This window comes from Homo sapiens, chromosome 3 (assembly GCF_000001405.40).
Source record: "Homo sapiens chromosome 3, GRCh38.p14 Primary Assembly".
In the NCBI taxonomy this organism is placed as follows: Eukaryota; Metazoa; Chordata; class Mammalia; order Primates; family Hominidae; genus Homo; species Homo sapiens.
In genome coordinates, this window is record NC_000003.12 from 32,275,265 (window position 1) to 32,296,980 (window position 21,716).

The following is a 21,716-nucleotide window of genomic DNA, read 5'->3' on the forward strand; positions in this document are numbered from 1 at the left end:
TTGGCCTCCCAAAGTGCTGCTTTTCTGCAAGCTAAATGTGATCTTTTTCTGAGCAGAATGACACAGAATTTGGAGACAAACAGACTTGGCTTTGAGTCTTGGCCCTGCTGCTATTAGCTCTGTGATCTTAAGTGAAATATTTAACATGTTAAAGCATCTGTAAAATATGTCTAATAATACCCACTTCTTAAGATTATTGAAAGAATCAAATGCAAATTCATGTAAATTGTTTAGCACTGGCGCATTGTAAGAACTCATAACCCTTGTTCTGGGGGAGATGATAGTATCCAAATGGCATGGGGGCCGCTCTGTCCCTCAAAGGTATTGGTGAAATCGCTCAGAATCTGTGTGAGGAGCACAAAGGCCCCCCATGTACTTCCTTTTTTTTTTTTTTTTTTTTTTGGGGACAGAGTCTTGCTGTGTCACCCAGGCTGGAGTGTGATAGTGTGACCACAGCTCACTGCAACCTCCACCTCCAGGGCTCAAGCAATTCTCACGCCTCAGCCTCCAGAGTAACTGGGATTACAGGTGTGCATCACCATGCCTGGCTAATTTTTGTATTTTTAGGAGAGATGGGGTTTCGCTATGTTGGCCAGGCTGGTCTTAAACTCCTGGCCTCAAGTGATCTGCCTGACTCAGCCTCCCAAAGTCTGGGATCACAGGTGTGAGTTACCACTCGTATGTACTTCAGTTAATTCCCAAAGAGCCCGTATTCTCTTGCCCTTTTCTGCCATCTCACCCACCTCCTTTATCCTTTGCTGTCATCCATCTCTGGTGTCCGTAAGAAGCTCACTGGTCCCAGTGGTGGGTTGGTTTTAGATGTTGACCAATGACGGGTACAGAGGCTTTTAGAGAATGCAGACCGACCTCCTATTCCATTCTTCTCCCCTTCTGTTTTGTCTCCCTTCCCTCCTGGGTTACTCGTCCTCCTCCTCTCCAAATCCTTCTCCTTCTGTTGTTCAGGGAAACTCTCTCCAGCTCCTACCTCCAAACTGTGTATCTTAATTCAGTGAGGGGGTGCAGAGAAAAGACTTCTCACCAAACCAGAAGCAGCTCCCTAGAGGGCAGTGGGCCTTATAAACAGGAACTTCTTTTCCTGTAACATGATTGTTTTTATTCTCATTGTGCAACAGCAATGCCGTGGATATTTCCTTGATGTTTATTTTGACTTGAGAGGATAGCAAGTGGTTTGAACTTGTATGAGAAATACCTTCATGCTGGCACTGCTTGGCTGGCAATTAGAGTAATTGCCTGTGGCTAGCCATGGACCTTTGCATGGGTGCTTTATCTGAATCCAGAGGAGAAAGCTGGGCTCAGCTGAAATTGCGCCACACAAGATCTTTGTTCTTTGGAGGGGAGTATTAGCTGGGGCCCCAGGCAATGCTGATGCCACTTTGGTTGTTTTCTTGTAACCCGTGTCGTCAATGGTTCCCACAAAATGAGCTTTGGATGTTGCACCTTCTGTGTCTTCCTTTATGCCACCTCCCACTCCTCCTTCATGAAGCTGTTTGTCTGGATGAACTTGTTTGGTGAGGCTGCCAGACCTTCCATATCAAACTGAGGGATGCCTTTTTCACCTGCTGTTTTCTTGCTTCATGATTCTAATATCTAGCCCTGTCTCCTGAGAAATTTTTTTTTTTTGAGATGGGGTCTCACTCTGTCACCCAGGCTAGAGTGCAGCGGCACAATCATAGTGCCCTGCATCCTTGAACTTGGCTCAAGGAATCCTCTTGCCTCGACCTCCCAATAAGCTGGGACTACAGGCACATCCCACCATCCCCGGCTAAGTTACTATTTTTTTTGTAGAGATTGGGGTCTCACCATGTTGCCCAGGCCAGTCTTGAGCTCCTGGGCTCAAGTAATCCTCCCACCTCAGCCTTCCACGTAGCTGGAGCTACAGGTATGCTCCAACACTCCCAGCCCTGAGAAATTATTTAGTCTTGAAAAGGAGAGAAAGGGAGAAGAGAAAGGAACAGAGTTTAATCCTGATAAAGGCTACTGGTGTCCAGGGAGGCCCTACATGGTGAGGCTGTGGGCAAGTAAGGCCCCACGGTGGTTGCTGCTGCTGACTTAGAGGTTTTGTCTGTCCATTTTCCAAGGATTCTCCCTTTGTCTTTCTTTCTTTTTTTATTTTCCTTTTTTTTTTCTTTTTTTGTTGAGACAGAGTCTCACTATGTTACCCAGGCTAGACTCAAACTCCTGGGCTCAGGTGATCCTCCTGCCTCAACCTCCCAAGTAGCTGGTATTACAGGTGTGTGCCACCACATCTGGCTTATTCTCCAGGGAGTGGGACTGCATTTGAGGGTGATGAGAGTTTGCGGGAACTGTGTTGTGTTGTCCAAACTCAAAGGACTCTATTACCCGAAGTTATGTTACTTGTTCCAATGAAGTCTTTATTTTGGAGAGGCCTGTGGACCAGAAATGATACTGGGCCCCAGACCAGTTGTGTTGGCCTATACAGTGTTGAAAATCAGAATTAGTTGCCAGTAAGTAAATATCAGATATTATAAGAAAATCTAGATTTCCATGATCTCTTGGAAAATTGGACAAATGCACAATACTGAGCCCATAGTTCCTCATGGCAGTAATCCTTTGGAGCCAAGAAGTGGCTGCCCTCTGCATGTAAGAGTGTTGGTCAAGATGCATGTTTGACTGTTGTGACAAAGACCAAAACAAGTGGCTTAAACAAGGTGGAAACTTGTTTTTCTGTCATGACAGTCAAAGCACTAATTGCCCAGGGCAGACATGATAGCTCCGTGGTGTCAGAGACGCTGCCCACTTCTGTCGGTTTTCCCTGTTCTCTGCAGTGGGTTCCATCTTCTGATCCAAGATACTGCTTCATTTCCCACCATCCTGTCTGCTCCAGCCTTCAGTAGGATGGAGAAGTAGAGGATCCCTTTCTTCAAGATCCAACCTGGAAGTTACATGTATCATTTCCTCTGGCATCCTGTTGGTCAGAATGTACAGCATGGCCACATCTGACTGCAGATGAAGCTGGGGAAATGTGGTCCTCATCTACGTGGCCATGTGAATAGTTAAAACCCACTTCTTACTAAAGGCAGAATGTGAGAGCGGATGGTATGGACAAACTATATTCTGTGCTGTGAGGGGCCTTGCAGTCACCTATTTGCTGCTATTCTCAGCTCTCTCCAGTCTTCCCGTAATTGAGGTCAAGAGTCATTGTCATTTATTTTCTTGTAACTGATGTGTTTCACTCATTTATGTTACCTGCTTGGTCCCTGTAGGCATTTGAGTTTGCATTCTCAGCTGTGCCCTGATCATCTCTTTCAACACACCTCCATGCTTTTATATTTGTTGCCGCCTCTGTTTAGAATTACCTGGCCTCCCTTTCAGGCCTGGCAAACTCCTTCTCAGGATAACGCAGCCCCATGCTTCCCTTCCCAAATTGAGTTATCTCTGTTAACCATCCTAATATATAAGCTGCCAATTTTACATAATACCTTTTAGTTTACTTACCTTTATATACTTGATGCCCAGAACAGCACTGGGTACATAACAGACTAAGGGTCAGTCCTGTTTACTGAGTGTTCATTCAGTGAAAGACACTTCCTAGAACTTAAAAGCATTTTTAATATCTAACAGTGAAATAGTGTATTAGTCACAGCCTGTACAGCTGTAGATGATGGAAACGTGGCTAAATTGGCTTCCATGACAACAAAAAGGAGGAGCACTTACTGGCTCGTGTATCTGACAAGCTGAGCTATGTGTCAAGCCTCAGGTATGGCTGGAACCAGGAGTTCAATAGATAGCAGGACTCAGTCTCTCTTCTCAGTGTCTTGGCTGTGCTTTCTTCTGAATAAGCTTCATTCTTAGAAAGAGTTTCTCTGCATGATGATGACAAAGATGCCACCCACGGTTCTGTATTTTTCTTATAATTAGTGATTTTTTTTTTTAATTTTTTTTTTATTATACTTTAAGTTTTAGGGTACATGTGCACATTGTGCAGGTTAGTTACATATGTATACATGTGCCATGCTGGTGCGCTGCACCCACCAACGTGTCATCTATCATTAGGTATATCTCCCACTGCTATCCCTCCCCCCTCCCCCGACCCCACCACCGTCCCCAGAGTGTGATATTCCCCTTCCTGTGTCCTTGTGATCTCATTGTTCAATTCCCACCTATGAGTGAGAATATGCGGTGTTTGGTTTTTTGTTCTTGCGATAGTTTACTGAGAATGATGGTTTCCAATTTCATCCATGTCCCTACAAAGGACATGAACTCATCATTTTTTCTGGCTGCATAGTATTCCATGGTGTATATGTGCCACATTTTCTTAATCCAGTCTATCATTGTTGGACATTTGGGTTGGTTCCAAGTCTTTGCTATTGTGAATAATGCCGCAATAAACATACGTGTGCATGTGTCTTTATAGCAGCATGATTTATAGTCATTTGGGTATATACCCAGTAATGGGATGGCTGGGTCAAATGGTATTTCTAGTTCTAGATCCCTGAGGAATCGCCACACTGACTTCCACAATGGTTGAACTAGTTTACAGTCCCACCAACAGTGTAAAAGTGTTCCTATTTCTCCACATCCTCTCCAGCACCTGTTGCTTCCTGACTTTTTAATGATTGCCATTCTAACTGGTGTGAGATGATATCTCATAGTGGTTTTGATTTGCATTTCTCTGATGGCCAGTGATGATGAGCATTTTTTCATGTGTTTTTTGGCTGCATAAATGTCTTCTTTTGAGAAGTGTCTGTTATTAATAATGGGAGACTTTAACACCCCACTGTCAATATAATTAGTGATTTTTTTAAGAAACCATAAATCTATTGCTTCATAGTGGTAACCAAGCACTTCGTAGTGGCCACCAATCAGGAGGAAGTCCCTGATTGACCTAGCTCAGGTCACATGGCCATTCTCAGTCCAGTCAATGTGGCCAGGCATAAGTGAGGGGGGAGAATAGGGTCTGGAAGCAGGGAACCTAAGGCTGATTCACGCTGATTTCCTAGAATGGAATTAAAAGGAAAACCCCAACTTTCCATGCCCAAGTAACAAAAGGATCATAAGCTACTTCCTTTGCACCCCCACCCACTTTTTCTTCGTGGCAGATGGAAAATGGAAAGTACTCTGATTGGTCCCCTTCTGCAACCAATCAGACTGGTCGTGGGCCTAGTCTTTATTTGCATAGGGGTATAACTTTGTAACTTCACTTCAGCCTTTGATTGGTTGCCTTCTGCAATCAATCAGACTGGTCATGGGCCACTTCTTTATTTACATAGGCTGTAACCAAGTAACCAGTGAGAAACCTCTAGAAGGTATTTAAACCCCAGAAAATTCCATAACCAGCATGCTTGAGCCCACTCCCATACTGTGGAGTGTGCTTTCGTTTCAAAAATCTGTAGTTTCATTGCTTCATTTGTGTGTTTTGTCCAATTCTTTGCTCAAAGTGCCAAGAACCTGGATGACTCACAGTCAAGACCCGTCACTGGTAACATAAGTAGTCTGGCCATACCTGGGTCATCTGTCTACTTCTGGTACCTGGGGTGGAGTCGACCCTACTCAAATTACATTGAAGGAAAGGTAGGTCTCCAACACGAGAGAAAATAGGCAAAAAAAAAAAAAAAAAAAAAAAAGTGACAATTATATTTGGAACTACCTTTGTCTCATTTTATAAATAAAGCAGCTGAGGGTGAGAGAGATTATCGTGACCTAAGGTCACAACCAGGAGGCGGCAGAAGTGGGATTCACACCAGATCTTCCTGACTCTAAATGGTAGACTGTTAATTCAGTGCACCCAACTATTTCTGAAGGGAGTTATCCTGGAACTCCCCAAGCCCCATCTCTGCATGGGGACAATCCTGAGGTTTGATGCTCCTGTGTATGACTATTAGTATGTAGAGATACCTTGTAGGCCCACCATGGCAGGATTTTGTGTAGGAGCACATGTTTAGCTGTAAGCTCTGTTTTCCCTGGCACCTCTCTAGTGGCTACACTGTACCTGAAAATATTTCTCTTACCCATCAAAAGAACTCTTTACATTAATAAAAGTTGGAAGAGTCAGGCAGCTGGATTCGTCTCTTCTCTTGGAACGTTTTGATTAATTTAGCACATGCATTCTCATCAAGGGGTGGTGTTGCTTGCAAGGGAGCAAAAACTGGTTCTTGGGGGTAGGGAGGGAAATCTTACCTTTTTTAAATGAATAAAGTACATATATACATGTAGTATCTAAATAGACAGTTTATCTGAGATGTTAAAATTTCCTGGAGATAATATGCTGTGATGAATGCCATCTTGAAAACTGTAACATATCTTCCCTCCAGAAGATATGTCCCTCATTCTTCAACAGTTGTCACCTTTTTTCTCTGCTCCACCTTGCAGCAAAACTTCTTGAATGAGTTGTCTTTATTTCCTAATTCCTCTCATCCCACCTGCTCCTGACTGAACCCTCTCCAATCAGCCTTGTCACTAGTCTACCCAAACAGCTCTTACCAAGGGCACCAGTGACGTCTGTTTTGCCAAGCCAAATGGTCAACTTTCAGTGCTTATCATACTGAGCCTGAAGGCCACATTGACACAGTTGACCCCTCCCCTCAATCCTTTAAATATCTTATTTTCTTGGCTTCAAAGGTCACTGTCCTAATTTTTTTTTCTTATCTCACTGGATGTGTACCTCATCTTCTTTCCTGGTGCCTCCTTATCTCCCCAACTGTAAATACAAGAGTGCCAGGGCTCAGGCCTTAGAACATTCCTCTTTTCCGTCTACACTCATTCCCTCAGAATCATGGCTTTCAACTCTCTCTATAGGTCCTCATTTCTAGCCCCAGCCTAGACTTCTCCCCTGGATCCCAGATTTGTATCTGCCCACTCACCATCTCTTCTGATATGTCTCATAGGCAACTCAGGCTAAGTATCAGTTTTGGGTTAATACAGAGAACAGAGAAACATATTAAAAGAACCCATGAGGACACAGTCAGCAAAATCTAGATTGTGTGTACGGGACAAATGACCCAGTTTTTTCAAAAAATAAATTTTAAAGAAAAAGGAATAGAGGAGATGCCTATAGATTAAAAGAGATTTATGAGATAAAAGTCAGTTGCAATATATGTACCATATTTGGATATTGATCCAAGCAACCATAAAATAATTATGAGATGATCAGGGTTATTTGAATATTGACTGGATATTGGATATTATCATTAATTATTTTTAGCTATGAGAATGGTGATTTGGCGATATTAGAAAAAAATTAAAAAAATATATACCCAGAATGTTATCAATTCTTACCACCTGCAGTATTATCACCCTCAGCCAAACTAACATCCTCTCTTGTATTATTTTTATATTGCCTCTTAGCTGATTTCCCTGCCTATAACCGACCCCCTACACCGGTCTGCTCTCAGCACAACAGCCAGAGATATCCTGGTAAGATGTGTCATGATATTCCACTTCCCATTGCATTTGGAGTGAGAGAGCCAGTCTGTTCAGTTTCAGTCTGCAAGACCCCATGGGTTCCTCCCTTACCTCTCTGACCTTATATCCTGCGCTCCACTCCTGGGTGAGCTGCTCTGGCCCCCTTGCTGCTTTTGTGACACAGCAAGCATGCTCCAGCTCTAGGTGTTTGTATTTTCTCTTCTCCCTGCCTAGAACCCACTTTCTCCAGGTCTTATTTCAGCACCTCCTTTCCCTGAACATTCTGTGTAATAAGTTAACCCTTATCTCCTTAGCCTGCCTAGTATTTTTCCATAGCATTTGTTACCATCTGATGTATGTACTGTTTTTTTGGTCTGATGCTTCCACTAGAACATGAGTTATGTGAGAGTAGAAACTGTATTTTTCATTGCTGTATCCCTAGTACTTAAATTGCACATAACACGCACTAAATAAATGTTGAAAGAAAAATAGTTTTTCATACAGGGGGAGGAAATGTTTATAAATGCTTAGGGGGAGCATGATAATGAAAAAAGTTGAGAATCCCTGCTTTAGCCTTGGGAAGCATGTGGTCATCTTGTCCCTGCTATTACTGTTGTTACTGTATTTACATTTCTCTGTCTTTTCCACCTTGGGATAGTCCGTTTTATCATGTTATAACGTGTCATACAGCAAAACTTTGTGAATTGGCTCCAATTGGGGGAAGAGTCATTTGAGTTTCTTCTCTTCAGACTGAGCGCTTGCTATCTGGCTTCTGTGCTGCAGTCGGGGAGCTCACATCGCAGGCGCATGTAATGTGACCAGCACGTCCCCCGGGAGTTAGCTTCCTTCCCCATGCATGAGCTGGAGCCTGCGGAACAGGATGGCGACAGTTTACTGAGGTGCCATTGATCCCGGGACACGTCTAGGCATTTCAGGCCGGGCAGTTGACCGTCATATGGGTCTCTCCTACATAGCAGGATGTTTACTGTGTCTGCCTTTCAGGATTTATCTTGACACAAAAAACAACTTGTTTTTTACATGCACACATACATCCCCTCCCCTCTGTCCCACCCTCCACACTTGGAGAACTAAGATGTCAGGAAGGCCCCGAGGAGGAATAAGCAAGAAATGAGGCAATCCAGGCAGGCACTCAGATGTGCTCGTAGTTTATGGCCAGAAAACAGTGCTCTAGGTGTGTTCAGATGACTGTGGTATCTTTTCTGAAACTCCATTTGTAAATATTTATAGCCCACTTCTTTCCAAAAAGGATTTGAAATAGCTTTATGAGTATACATAAACCCACACACAAATATACACTTAGGGCTGGGCACAGTGCCTCACGCCTGTAATTCCAGCACTTTGGGGGAGCCGAGGTGGGCGGATCACCTGAGGTCAGGAGTTCGAGACCAGCCTGGCCAACATGGTGAAACCCTGTCTCTACTAAAAGTACAAAAAATCAGCTGGGTGTGGTGGCACATGCCTGTAGTCCCAGCTACTTGGGAGGCTGAGGCATGAGAATCATTTGAGCCCGGGAGGCAGAGGTTTCAGTGAGCAGAGATTGTGCCACTGCACTCCAGCCTGGGCAACAGAGCGAGACTCCGTCTCAAAAATAAACAACAATAACAAAAAAATATATACACTTAGATTTAACAAAACAAGAGTGGAAAACAAGAAACCTGGCCTGAAAGAACAGGAGGAAGCAGTGAGGGAGTCTTGAGAGTTAAGTCGGGATCTGCGAGGGGAATCACATGCAGCTGGATGCCCTCTGCCAGCCCAGTGCCCAGGGAAGCGGAGTGGGGCTGCCTCACCTTGTCCTCACCTTCTACCAGCCTTTGCATTATATCTCATAATTTTTCCCCTTTAGTCATCACATTGGGTTATCTATTGAAAAATCCGAGTAGCCAACTATATAGTATCATTTAAAAGTGGACATAGGACTTTGAGTAGACATTCTAGGTGATTGGTGCCTGTCTCCAGCACCGACCTGTGATCACAGCTCACAGAGGGCATGAACTGTGTCTGTTCATCTTTGTACTCCAGTACCTGGAAGCCAGGAGGAACTCAATAAATATTTTACTGTATAAATGAATGGCTTTACAGTTCTTCTTACAAGAAAGGAAGAAGCCTGTCAGTTGTTTGAGGGAAAGGTTTTTGTTTTTGTTTTTTCCTGGTTCTATTTTGAGAGTTCTCTCATGTGGGCGATTATATTAGGAATTTTGAGTGGTGTCCTCGGTCTTGTTCTCAAGAAAATTGGGAGAAATGCAGACGCAGGATTCATGTGGCTTTCCTTGTAAGGGGGAAAACTGAAGTCCTGACTTTGATGAGCAGTTTAATGCAGAGTCTGAGAGGCCCCAGCGAAGGTGATCAAGGTACACACCTTTTCCTCATATGACCTGGTTCAAGAGCAAATGGAAATTCCTCAGGGAGGGTAGAGAACAGTCCCTAAATGTTACTGCTTTCAGGGCCACTTTGGGTACATGCTAGAGGTGGTTCAATTTGGGATTATGTAATATAGTAGTAAAAAGCAGGGACCTTGCATAGAATTATACACAAAAATATACCACAAAAAATAATAGTGGTGCAGTGGCTGGGTGCAGTGGCTCACGCCCGTAATCTCAGCACTTTGGGAGGCCGAGGCGGATGGATCACTTGAGGCCAGGAGTTTGAGACCAGCCTGGGCAACATGGTGAAACCCCATCTCTACTAAAAATACAAAAATCAACTGGGCGTGTTGGCACACACGTGTAATTTAAGCTACTCAGAAGGCTGACACATGAAAATTGCTTGAACCTGGAAGGCAGGTTGTGGTGAGCCAAGATGACGCCACTACACTCCAGCCTGGGTGACAGAGCGAGATTCTATCTCAAAAAAAAAAAAAATTAAATTAATAATAATACTAGTAGTACACGTAAAAATGGGTGAAATCTATGTGAAGTGTATTGCGCTCATTTTGGTTTCCTGGTTGTGATAAAGTACTGTAGTTACATAAGGTGCCACTAATTAGATAAATTGGGTGATGGATGTATAACACCTCTCTGCACTGTTTATGAGTCTATAATTAAAAAGCAGGGCCTTGGCAACAGAGTTGTGTTGAATCCCCCATTACCCCAGCTGAGAGGTGACTTTTTTCTCCTGGCATTTAACGTAATTCTTAACTACCTATTTGCTCTGTGCCTTTCTCCCCCAGGAGAAAGCAGAAGCTGAGTCTGTTTTGTTCACTGCTAAATTCTCTGTCTCCTAGCACAGTGTGTGGCACCTGTGTTTTGAAGTCAGATGTTTGGATGAAAGAATAGTTATGGACACAGGTGACTTAAATTCTCTCAGGCGGTCTGCAGTTAGGTCAATACCTCCCTGTCAGGACGATGGGAGAATTAAATGTGTATAATGTAGCTAAAGCTCAGGGCCTTCTGCAAGCAAACACTCAACTTCCGGAGGCGGCAGACTTTTTCCGTCAAGGGTCAGATAGTAGTGGCTTGGGCTTTGCAGAGCATGCAGTCTCTGTTGTAGCGGCCCACCTCTGCCACTGTAGCACAAACGCAGCCAGAGACAATCGGTACATGAATGAGTGTGGTGCATTTAAAAATGCAACTTAAAATCTTTTAAATTGCAAATTAAAAATAATTTTTTTATGAACCTGAAATTTGAATTCTTTCCAACCATTTCAATATATAAAAATCTCTCTTAGCTTATAGGTGGTGGGCTAGATGTGGCCTCAGGTCCACAGTTTGTGCACTGTGATGGGCACTGTCACTTTTGGCAAGCTCCTTCTCCACACTGCTGGCCGCTGGGGTAAACGAAGAAGCTGTGGAAACTATATAATTTGGTGGCAAAGTTAATGTTCCCCACAAAACCAGATCTGTGCAATGAGTTTCTCTCTGGGCTGGGAGGAAGGCTGCTCCTGTGGCCCAGATAAACCCAGCCTGCATTTTGCATGGGAGGCTTTGTAGGATTGGCACCATTTCCCATAGGAAGGCGTAACACACATGTTCTCAGCTCTAGGCAGCTTGCTGTAGAGCAGGGCTGTCCAATCTTTTGGCTCCCCTGGGCCACACTGAAAGAAGAAGAATTGTCTTGGGCCACATATAAAATACACTAACACTAACGGTAGCTGATGAGCTGAAAAAAAAGGGCGCAAAAAAACTCATGTTTTAAGAAAGCTTACAAATTTGTGTTGGGCTGCATTCGAAGCCATCTTGGGCTGTATGCAGCCCGAGGGCCGCAGGTTGGACAAGCTTGCTGTAGCGTGTTGTCCAGGTGCACTTGTCTGCCGGAAAGGGCAGATAGATGTGGGCTCCAGCCCTGCCTGATAGCCTCTCGGCTCTGAGCGTGGGCAGATCTCTCAAGGCCCTCTGAAACTTGGTTTCTTCTGCTTTAAAGGTGGAATGGTGAGGTGCAGTGGCAGCCTATTTGTGGCTGCTTTGCTTAATTTGGGGTTAGCTAATAGCTGTTCCTTTTTTTGTCTAAAGTGGTTATACTGACCCAATCCATTACAAAGTTGCTTTGAGGACTAAAATGAAACAATTTAAGGTGTCTGGCACTTACCCATCATTTTTATTGGGCACCTTCTTAATAATGTTTGAATCTACATAAGGTAAGATCATCTACATTCTTTCAGACACACAGCCATTTACTCCTCTGAATTTGAAGTTTTTCTTCAATTTTTTGTCTTCATAAGAATTAAAATGTTACAGAGTCATAAATTTTGTTTTCCAAGTTTTACCTAAAACCCTCAGATATTTTGCTCCTAAACAGGTTAAGGACCAATGTGATACTGCCCTCACTCTTAAAATCTTGAAATCCTTCAGCTGTTAATACCATTAAACTATTACTAACTGATTTATTTTTGTAGTGTTCAAATAAATTTTAATATAGGTTGGGTGAAATCTAGAAAAGTTGTATATTTTGTCTTTATGTATAATAGGAATTACAAGGAAGTGCCAATTCAGAGTAAAGTTAAATGAAAACATGAGAGTTAGGGAAATAAGGCTTTATTAGAATACACAAATGCCTTCTGTGGTCGATTAGATTGTGAGAATCCAAATAAATATTTTAGAAAATTATTATTTGAATAAAAGTGCACATTATTTTATGTGTCCGCCATTATTTAATGTATTCCCTCAACCATATGGAGATGGCAGAAGAGATATTGATTCAGGCTTTGGTTGTGAGTGAAGGAGATAGGAAAATTATCTGGAGGCTGCTGGTAGGATTATAAGGAAAACCACTAAAGAATCTGGAAATATGTTCATATGCCAGCTGCCCCTCACAAGACAGTATTCCGTGCTTGAAGTTTGGCAAGAGAGAGATGATCCGTTTATGGCTTTAAAAAAAAAGTATTTACAAAATCTTAATTCACACGATACATTATATTTATTTGACATGTTTTATTACGGATCATAAAACTAAAGTTCTGGAAGATTAAGTCACTTTCCAGATATCAAATAGGTAGACCTGGAATCTGAACACAGTTGGCCTGACTTGCAATCCATGGTCTTTTGACAACATCTTTGTTTCTCTGTGTTCAGGACTCTGCTAACACAGGATTTTAGATGATGGGTCCTTGCTCTCAAGGAGCTTACAACTTAATTGAGGAGCTGACTTTCATATATGAGAGTAAGTAGAAGAAAATACAGCTATCATTTCTTTATTTTTTAGAGACAGGGACTTACTCTGTCACTCAGGGTAGAGTTCAGTGACATGATCGCCCACCGTAACCTTGAACTGCTGAACTCAAGTGATCCTCCCACCTCAGCCTCCCAAGTAGCTGGCACTACAGGCACCCACCACACCCAGCTAATTTTTTAAAAACTTTTTTGTAGAGATGGGGGTCTCACTGTGTTGAGTAGGCTATACAGCTATCATTTTTTTTTTGAAATGGAGTCTTGCTCTATCACCCAGGCTGCAGTGCAGTGGCACAATCTCAGCTCACTGCAACCTCCACCTTCCTGGTTCAAACAACTCCCCTGCCTCAGCCTCCTGAGTAGCTAGGACTACAGGCGCCCACCACCACGCCCAGCTAATTTTTTGTATTTTTAGTAGAGACGGCATTTCACCATGTTAGCCAGGATGTTCTCGATCTCCTGACCTCGTGATATGCCCGCCTTGGCCTCCCAAAGTGCTGGGATTACAGGCGTGAGCCACTATATCTGGCCGCAGCTGTCATTTCTAAAGCACCTTTTGGTTTCCAGTGAGCTATCTCAGTCGAATTTCCTATAACTATGAATTAGTTGAGGTACATGCCATTAGCTCATTTTCATGGTGAGGAAACCATGAAAAGGCTCAAAAAGTTAGTGACTTGCCTAAGATTATACCAGTAAGTGACAAAGCCACCATGTGGTACTTTGTGTCTTGCAGTTTCTTTTTTACCGGAAGTCACAAAATCAGCTGCATACAGGGGCCAGGAAGGCAGAATATATGAGCAAAGCACGTTATAAGGCAACAGGGAGCAGTGGGTTTGTGATGAACCAGAGATTGAAACTTCTGTCTGAAGAGGTCACTGCTACTTGGCTACAGCTGATTGTGCCCATAAAGAAGTGAAAGCCCCAACGATAACGGATCTAATTTTTCAGAGATGCCCTAAATCTGAATTTTAATTTAAAATCTCCTGATTAACCTTCTCTTTAAAAATTCTCAGAACACTGAATTAACCAACACTATGTGTGCTAAACAAAACTGTCTTTTGGGCCTCAAGTTTGAGAATGAACTCTGCTGTATACTCTATGGCCTCTAAGACAAACTCTGATGACTTTTCCCCAAATGAGTAGGAAATCAGGAAGCTTCAGAGAGCCATGGTGTCAAAGAAGGCTTCCTGGAGGAGGTGGGATCAGAAAGGAGCCTTGAAGGATGGATAGTAGAAAAGAAGGGAGAGATCCTTCCAGGCTAGGAGAGGGGAGAGAATATACAGTAAGTATTGAGCACAATACCTGAAATATTACCTGAGGTAATAATATTAGCAGTGATGCCAGTATGCTAGTATATTAACAAGAAAGCCAGTCTAACTGAAATAGATGCATAGAAAATGTGGGACCAGCCACCCAAACCTCCAGCAAATACCATACTTAGTGATGAAACATTAGAAGCTTTCTTTTATAAAATCAGGAACATAAGGATCTTATTACCATTTATATTCATCGTAGGCCCTGGAGGCCCTAACCAGTGTAGTAAGACAAGAATAAGAAATACAAGGATGGGGGAAAAAGGAGGCCAGTCATGATGGTGCACACCTGTAATCCCAGCACTTTAGGAGGCCGAGGCCGGTAGATTGCTCGAGCTTAGAAGTTCAAGGTCAGCCTGGGCAACATGGTGAAACCCCATCTCTACAAAATATACAAAAATTAGCCAGGTGTAGTGGTGCACACCTGTAGCCCCAGCTACTTGGGAGGATCACATGAGCCTGGTCAAGGCTGTAGTGAGCTGAGATTGTGCCATTGTACTGCAGCCTGGATGACAGAGTGAGACCCTGTCTCAAAAAAAAGAAAAGAAAAGAAAAACAAACAGTCATTATTCATAATCATATTATCTACGACAAAAATCCAAGAGAATTTACAAAATAGTGTTCAGCATGATTGCTTAATATAAGTCATAATACAAAAGTCAATTCCACTTCTGTACACAAACAATAAACAGTTTGCAAATATTTCTAAAACTTTATATATTACCTTTATGGAGCAAACCTAGAAACTTCATTGAAAGATAAAGATCTAAATAAATGGGAAGCTGTACCATTTTCATGAATGGGAAGCATCAGTATTGTAAGATGTCAGTTCCTAAATAAACACATTCAATGTAATTATAATTCAAATCACAATTTTGTATGAGTATGGATAATGTACATGTATATTAAGCTGCTTCTAAAATGTGTTATATGTGAAACAGGTAGTCCAAGGCCAGCTTTGGAGGACTTTGGTGCTGGAACATGGAGTTTAGACCTGATCCAACCTGCTGCTGTTTCTCAGGCTAGGGCCGGTGTTTGTATTTTCAAGTATTAAAAACAAATTTTTCTGTTATTTTAACAATACAAGCAAATTCTGGAATTTAAAATTTGCCCAAGGGCTTCTGGGTGATTTCAGGCTAGACACTTGTGTTTGTGTTTGCAGTCACATTTATACTGAGTTACAATCATTTGTCATGGGCTAATGACAGAGGAACAAGGCAGACTGATTATATAAGCATCTGGTTAGACCAAGTGCAGGCCAACTAATCTCACAGCCCAGCAAAGGCTTGTAGCAGCTAGTGTGAAATGGTCGAAGAATTACGAGGCTGGCTCATTTTTGTATTTTTTCAAGACACGGGGTTTTGCCATGTTGCCCAGGCTGGTCTTGAACTCTGAATCCCAAGTGATCCACCCACCTCAGCCTCCCACAGTGCTGGGATTACAGGCGTGAACCGCTGTGCCTGGCCAATTTTATTTTCAAGATTTTACCACTAGCAATATGTAGGATAAATGGGAGATGAGAGGCAAAGGTGAGTTTGAGTAGAGAAGAAATTTTTTTTTTTTTTAATACAGAGTCTCGTTCTCTCTCTCAGTCTGGAGTGCAGTGGCACAATCTTGGCTCACTGCAAGCTCTGCCCCCCGGGTTCACGCCATTCTCCTGCCTCAGCCTCCTGAGTAGCTGGGACTACAGGTGCCCGCCACCACATCTGGCTAATTTTTTTGTTGTTGTTGTATTTTTTTAGTAGAGACAGGGTTTCACCGTGTTAGCCGGGATGGTCTCGATCTCCTGACCTCGTGATCCGCCCGCCTCGGCCTCCCAAAGTGCTGGGATTACAGGCGTGAGCCACCGTGCCCAGCCGAGAAGAAAATTTATTGAAGGTCAATTGTTGACAAGTCATTAGGCACTTACTCCCCTCAAAACAACCCCATGAGATAATTTCTCCCTTATATAAATGAGGAAGTTGAGCCTTAGAAATGTTAAGTAACTTATCCAAAGCTACATAGCTAGAAAGTGAAGCAGGTAGGTTGTCAGTTTAGACTGCATTCTACCAAGCTTTAATACAGGGATGAGTAGTAGCCACTTTGGCATGGCCACAGGGGAATCCAGAAAAAAGAATGAATCTGGAAACCTTATTTTTGAATTGCCTTTTTCCCACTAGAAAACCTGAGATACCCAGCACCTGCCTAGTGTATGGTCTGTTAAGCCTATGATCTAGGTACTGTATGGCTGGGTCCCAAGCCCTGCCTCCTTAAACCTAGTTCCTAGAATGTATGATTAGAGGGGGAGTCCTTTCCTGCCACTCTGTATAACTAGTTGTGACTAGTTTCATGGCCTGTATTACTGTTGTTTTTTGTTACTTGGTGATTGCATATAGGATGTAAATATTTTCTTGGAAGTTGAAAAAATAAATTAGGTGAGACTATATCTACTTGAACTCTTCCTACAGATCTATAGCTCTCATCACCTTCTATCCGGATCAACCTTGTGGTTTGAGTTTTAACAACCTGGCCTGGAAACAGAATGTTTTGTGTTTCAAGGAGAGATTATTGGAGAAAATGTTCAGAAGAATCCAGGTATTCATGAGCTTGAGTTTGCGTGTGGTAGAAATGTCTGCCTCCCACATTCAATCCACGCCACCTTGGATTGTCCCCACCTTCATCATGCAGGGCAGTTTGAAATCAGAGGAGATTGCGAAATTGGAGATTTCAAAGGGACCTTGAGCTCCTCTCGTATAGATGCCTCACAGATAAGACAGGGGCCAAGAGACAAGGACACTTTGTGAGTTTCTGGAAACCCAGCTGAGTCTTGATCTGAAGCCTCTCCTGTTTCCCATATGTTGCAACTTTGTGTTTCTCTTTTCTCAATTAAATTCAATTTTCAAATAGGCATAGACTGCGTAATCCATCTACATGGTTCAAAAGTATGAAAAGCTGTGCACAGAAATCTTGCTCTCCCCCGCCTTCCTGCCATTAACCCTACCACTGACACATGACAATTTTAGGGTTCTTATTTCTCTTTCTTTGGATAAACAAAGGATACTGTTTATCCTTTAGGCCCGGATTTCTCAACCTGGGCACTGTTGACATTTTGGGCTGGATAATTCTCTGCTGCAGGGGACTGTTGTGTGCATTGTGGGATGCTTAGCAGCATTCCTGACCTCTACCTACTAGATGCCAGTAGTAGCAACCCACTGACCTGAGTCATGGTGATCAAAAATGTCTCCAGATGTTGCCAAATGCTCTGTGAAGGGCAAAATCACCTGTAGTTGAAAACCACTGCTTTATGCAAATAGAGGCAAATGCGAACGTGCATTTTGATTTTCACCCTTTTCCTTGAGCAATCTATACACATAGCTTCTCTTCCTGACATGCATATATCCTGATAGACATATATCCATATCCTAATAGATAGATATATATCCATGTCCTGATAGACGTCTATCCATATCCTGATACATGTGTCCCAGAATATATGATGTGTGTATATATGTGTGTGTATATATATATATATATATATTTAACTTTTACATGTATAGATATCCTAGAGATCTCTGAATCAGTGGAGGCTGCCCTCACTTTGGCGGCTATGTAGCAGTCCATGGTGTGGAGGTGCCATCATTGATTGAACTTGTCCACTGTGGTTAATTGGGTACTTGTTTCCAATCTGTAGCTATTAAACTGTGCTCAGGCCAGGCGTGGTGGCTCATGCCTGTAATCCCCACACTTGGGGAGGCTGAGGTGGGCAGATCACTTGAGGTCAGGAGTTTGAGACCAACCTGGCCAACATGGCGAAACCCCATCTCTACTAAAAGTACAAAAATTAGCCAGGCATGGTGCCCACCTGTAATCCCAGCTACTTGGAAGGCTGAGATGGGAGAATTGCTTGAATCCGGGAGGCGGAGGTTGCAGTGAGCCAAGATTGTGCCACTGCATTCCAGCCTGGGCAACAGAGTGAGTGAGACTCTGTCTCAAGAAATAAATAGGCCAGGTGCAGTGACTCACATCTGTAATCCCAGCACTTTGGGAGGCCAAGGCAGGTGGATCACCTGAGGTCAGGAGTTCAAGACCAGCTTGGGCAACATGGAGAAACCTCGTCTCTACTAAAAATACAAAAATTAGCCAGGTGTAGTGGCACACACCTGTAGTCCCAGCTACTCGGGAGGCTGAGGCAGAAGAATCACTTGAACCAGGAGGTAGAGGTTGCTGTGAGCTGATATTGTGCCACTGCACTCTAGCCTGGGTGACAGAGGGAGACTCTGCCTCAATAAATAAACAAACTGTGCTCTGTGAGTAAGCCTGTTCATGTGTCATTCTTCTTTGTGCAGGTGTATCTGTTGTGCAGGTGTATTGGTTGTGCAGGTGTATCTGTAGGTTAGATCCCAGAACTGGGGTTGCAGGATCAAGGGTAAATACATCTCATTTTGGTGGCCACCTCCAGATTTCTCCTCCATGAGAGTCGTGCCCTTTGGTACTCTTATCAGCAGTGACTTGAGAGGCCAGTTTCTCCACAGCCTCACCAACAGGATTGTGAAACGTTTGAATTCTTGCCTATCCCATAGGTGAGAAGTGCCTCATGTTTCTTAACCTGAGTAACATTGATCCAGCCTTACATATCGTGAACAAGGAGCTAAGTGAACTCAGCCTAGTCTGCTTTTCCCTGAATGGCAAGTGTCCTGTGCACATCTGTGTCCAGGTCTTTGTGCTTGCTGTCCCTCTGTCAGGAATGCTCTTCCATTTCACTTTAGACATTTTCACATCCTGTGAGGCTTCCAGATGCCTTCTTCTCTATGAAACGTTTTCCGATTATGCTTTACGCTGCATTTTTGTCCTTCTCCACGTTCCCTCTGGCTTAGTGCTGCTGCCTTGTGTGGCTGCCAGTCACATAGCTGTTGCCCAGAGCCAGGTGGGAGTCTGCAGTCAGGCAGGTCTGGTTTTGAATTCCAGCCTTACCACTTACTATCTCTGGATCCTTGGTCAAATTTCTTCTTGGAGCCTCAGTTTTCTCATCTATAAAATGGGAATGATACTTCTCTAGGAGAAGCCACATAAAGTATGCGGCAGCAGATAGGCATTTAATAAACATCAGCTCCTCGAGGGCAGATCCGTCTTCTTGTTTTCTGCCCTGCCTTCCATGTGCCCTTGCATGCAGTGAATAAAGATATTGTGTCTATTCTTTAAAACACAAAACTGTGGCCAGATGCGGTGGCTCACACCTGTAATCCCAGCACTTTGGGAGGCCGAGGCGAGCGGATCACTCAAGGCCAGGAATTTGAGACCAGCCAGGCCAACATGGTGAAACCCCATCTCTACTAAAACTACAAAAATTAGCTGGGTGTGGTGGTGCACACCTATAATCCCAGCTACTTGGGAGGTTGAGGCAGGAGAATCTCTTGAGCTTGGGAGGCGGAGGTTGTAGTGAGCTGATATCATGCCACTGCAATCCAGCCTGGGTGACAGAGCAAGACTCTGTCTCAAAAAATAAAACAAAATGAAACAAAACAACAAACTTTATAGGAAGTGAATGGTGATTTATTCAGCAATTATTTGAACACATATTTTGTTCCAGGCATAGATCTCAAAACTGAGGATTTAGGCTGGGCACGGTAGCTCATGCCTGTAATCCCAGCCCTTTGGGAGGCCAAGGCAAGTGGATCACCTGAGGTCAGGAGTTCGAGAACAGCCTGAGCAATGTGGTGAAACCCCATCTCTGTTAAAAATACAAAAATTAGCTGGGCATAATGTCGTGCACCTGTAGTCTCAGCTACTCGGGAGGCTGAGACAGGAGAATTGTTTGAATCCAGGAGGCGGAGGTTGCAGTAAGCCAAGATTGCAACACTGTGTTCCAGCCTGGGCAATAAAGCGAGACTCCATCTCAAAAAAAAAAAAAAAAAAAAAAACAAAACAAAACAGCGGAAAGAGAAAATCCCTGTCTTTGTGGAGCTTGCATTCAATTAGGGTGATAGACACCCAATGAATAGAAGTAAATGATTCAGTAGTAAGCATAGATCCAACTATTGTATATCATTTTGTTAAGTTGAGGAACTGTAAGTTCCTTGGGGGCAGGAAGGATGACTGCCCTTCATGGAACCTCTTCAGAGCCTAGTATGATGGAGGAAACCCATACCCACATCTATTAATGTCTCCCCTCTGCTTAAACCCCTAGCAGCTCCTCATGGCCTCCGGGCTATGGTTCAGACTCCTTTCCTGGACTGCAAGGCCCTGTGTGATCCGGGGCCTGCCTTTCTATCTGGCTTTGTTTGTTGCCTGGATATCTATCCACCCTACGTTCCAGCTCCACTGGACCTCCAGTTCCTAAAATGTTCCATGCTGTCTCATCTCTGCTTTATTCTACCTGTTATTCCACTTGCCTGTAATGGTTTCCATGCCCACCTCACCTGGCTAATATCTATATATCCTTTAAATCCTTTTGTTCTGTCTTGGATGTCACTGTCTTCAGGAAACCATCCTTGATTTTCCCACCTCTCAGTCTGTGTTGTGTGCCCCTCCAGCTCTGTGCTCAGTAACAATCAGGACTTCTTTGCTTCAGCCTTTTATTTTTTATTTTTTTTTAAATAAAGATGAGGTCTCACTATGTTGCCCAGGCTGGTCTTGAATTCCTGAGCTCAAGTGATCCTCCCACCTCGGCCTCCCAAAGTGCTGGGATTACAGGCATGAGCTACCACACCTGACCCAGACTTCTACAGCATTATAGGGTAATTGCTGGTTTACTTGTCTGAATCTCCCTAATTGTTCAGCCCCCTCCGGAGTAGGCTTGTCTCTCCCATCTGGTGGTATGTATCTGCAATGAGTACCTGGCACAATGAGTTATGGCTAGACAGATGGATAGTTGAAGCGTAGAATAGGAAGTGGATACATGTTCTGACTTGGCTCTCCTCACTGGGGCCAGCCCAGTCGGAACCTGTTTTCCTTTGTAGGAATCTTGTTTCCCTTTGCCACTCCCTTGAGGCAAGCAACAGGTCCTGCTTCTGGTCCATCACAGGTCTGATGACCCTGGAATGATCACTTACCATTCTGGGGCATTTATTAAATGACCCACTGGGGCTGCAGGATTGCTTAAGTGCAAGAGCTCTGTTGATGTATTCCACAGGAATGGCACCCCTTAGGGTTGTGTAATGTGCCCATGTTGCATTAGATGTTCCATCCAGATCTGAGGTTCCATGGGTGGGGGCCTCCTGCCTCTCTCACCCAGGTTTTCCTCGGGAAGAGCAGTGCCTAATTAAAACCACAAAGGGAAAAACCAGGGCGGCAGACTGTGTGTTATTGTGGCTGATGATGCTTGACATGGCCAGTAGAGGGCAGCAGAGCCGTCCACCATGACCTCCACATTTTCGTTATTGTAAATAAGGGATCCTGAGGATGCCTTCTCCACTCCCTCCCC

At 43.6% G+C, this 21,716-nt stretch overlaps 1 protein-coding gene across 4 annotated transcripts in view, besides 1 other annotated feature; it reads left to right on the top strand.

Moving 5' to 3' along the window:
- Positions 1–21,716, top strand: part of CMTM8 (CKLF like MARVEL transmembrane domain containing 8) — a 132,130-nt gene that overhangs the window by 37,073 nt on the left and 73,341 nt on the right. The window contains exon 3 of one of the 4 annotated variants that reach the window (XM_011533416.4): positions 7,327–7,395. The exons of 2 other annotated variants lie outside the window; for them this stretch is intronic. In XM_011533416.4, the coding sequence (XP_011531718.1) occupies positions 7,327–7,395 (69 nt within the window). Of the gene's footprint in view, positions 1–7,326; positions 7,396–16,128; positions 16,892–21,716 lie in introns of those variants that run through there. One more of the 4 variants, XM_017005779.2, reaches the window with a different exon arrangement.
- Positions 13,785–13,834: an enhancer, noted in NCBI's record as "active region_19633". NCBI's record gives its function as "activates an Ori minimal core promoter by ATAC-STARR-seq in GM12878 lymphoblastoid cells {active_cell/tissue: GM12878}" and the evidence as "EXISTENCE:reporter gene assay evidence [ECO:0000049][PMID:35858748]".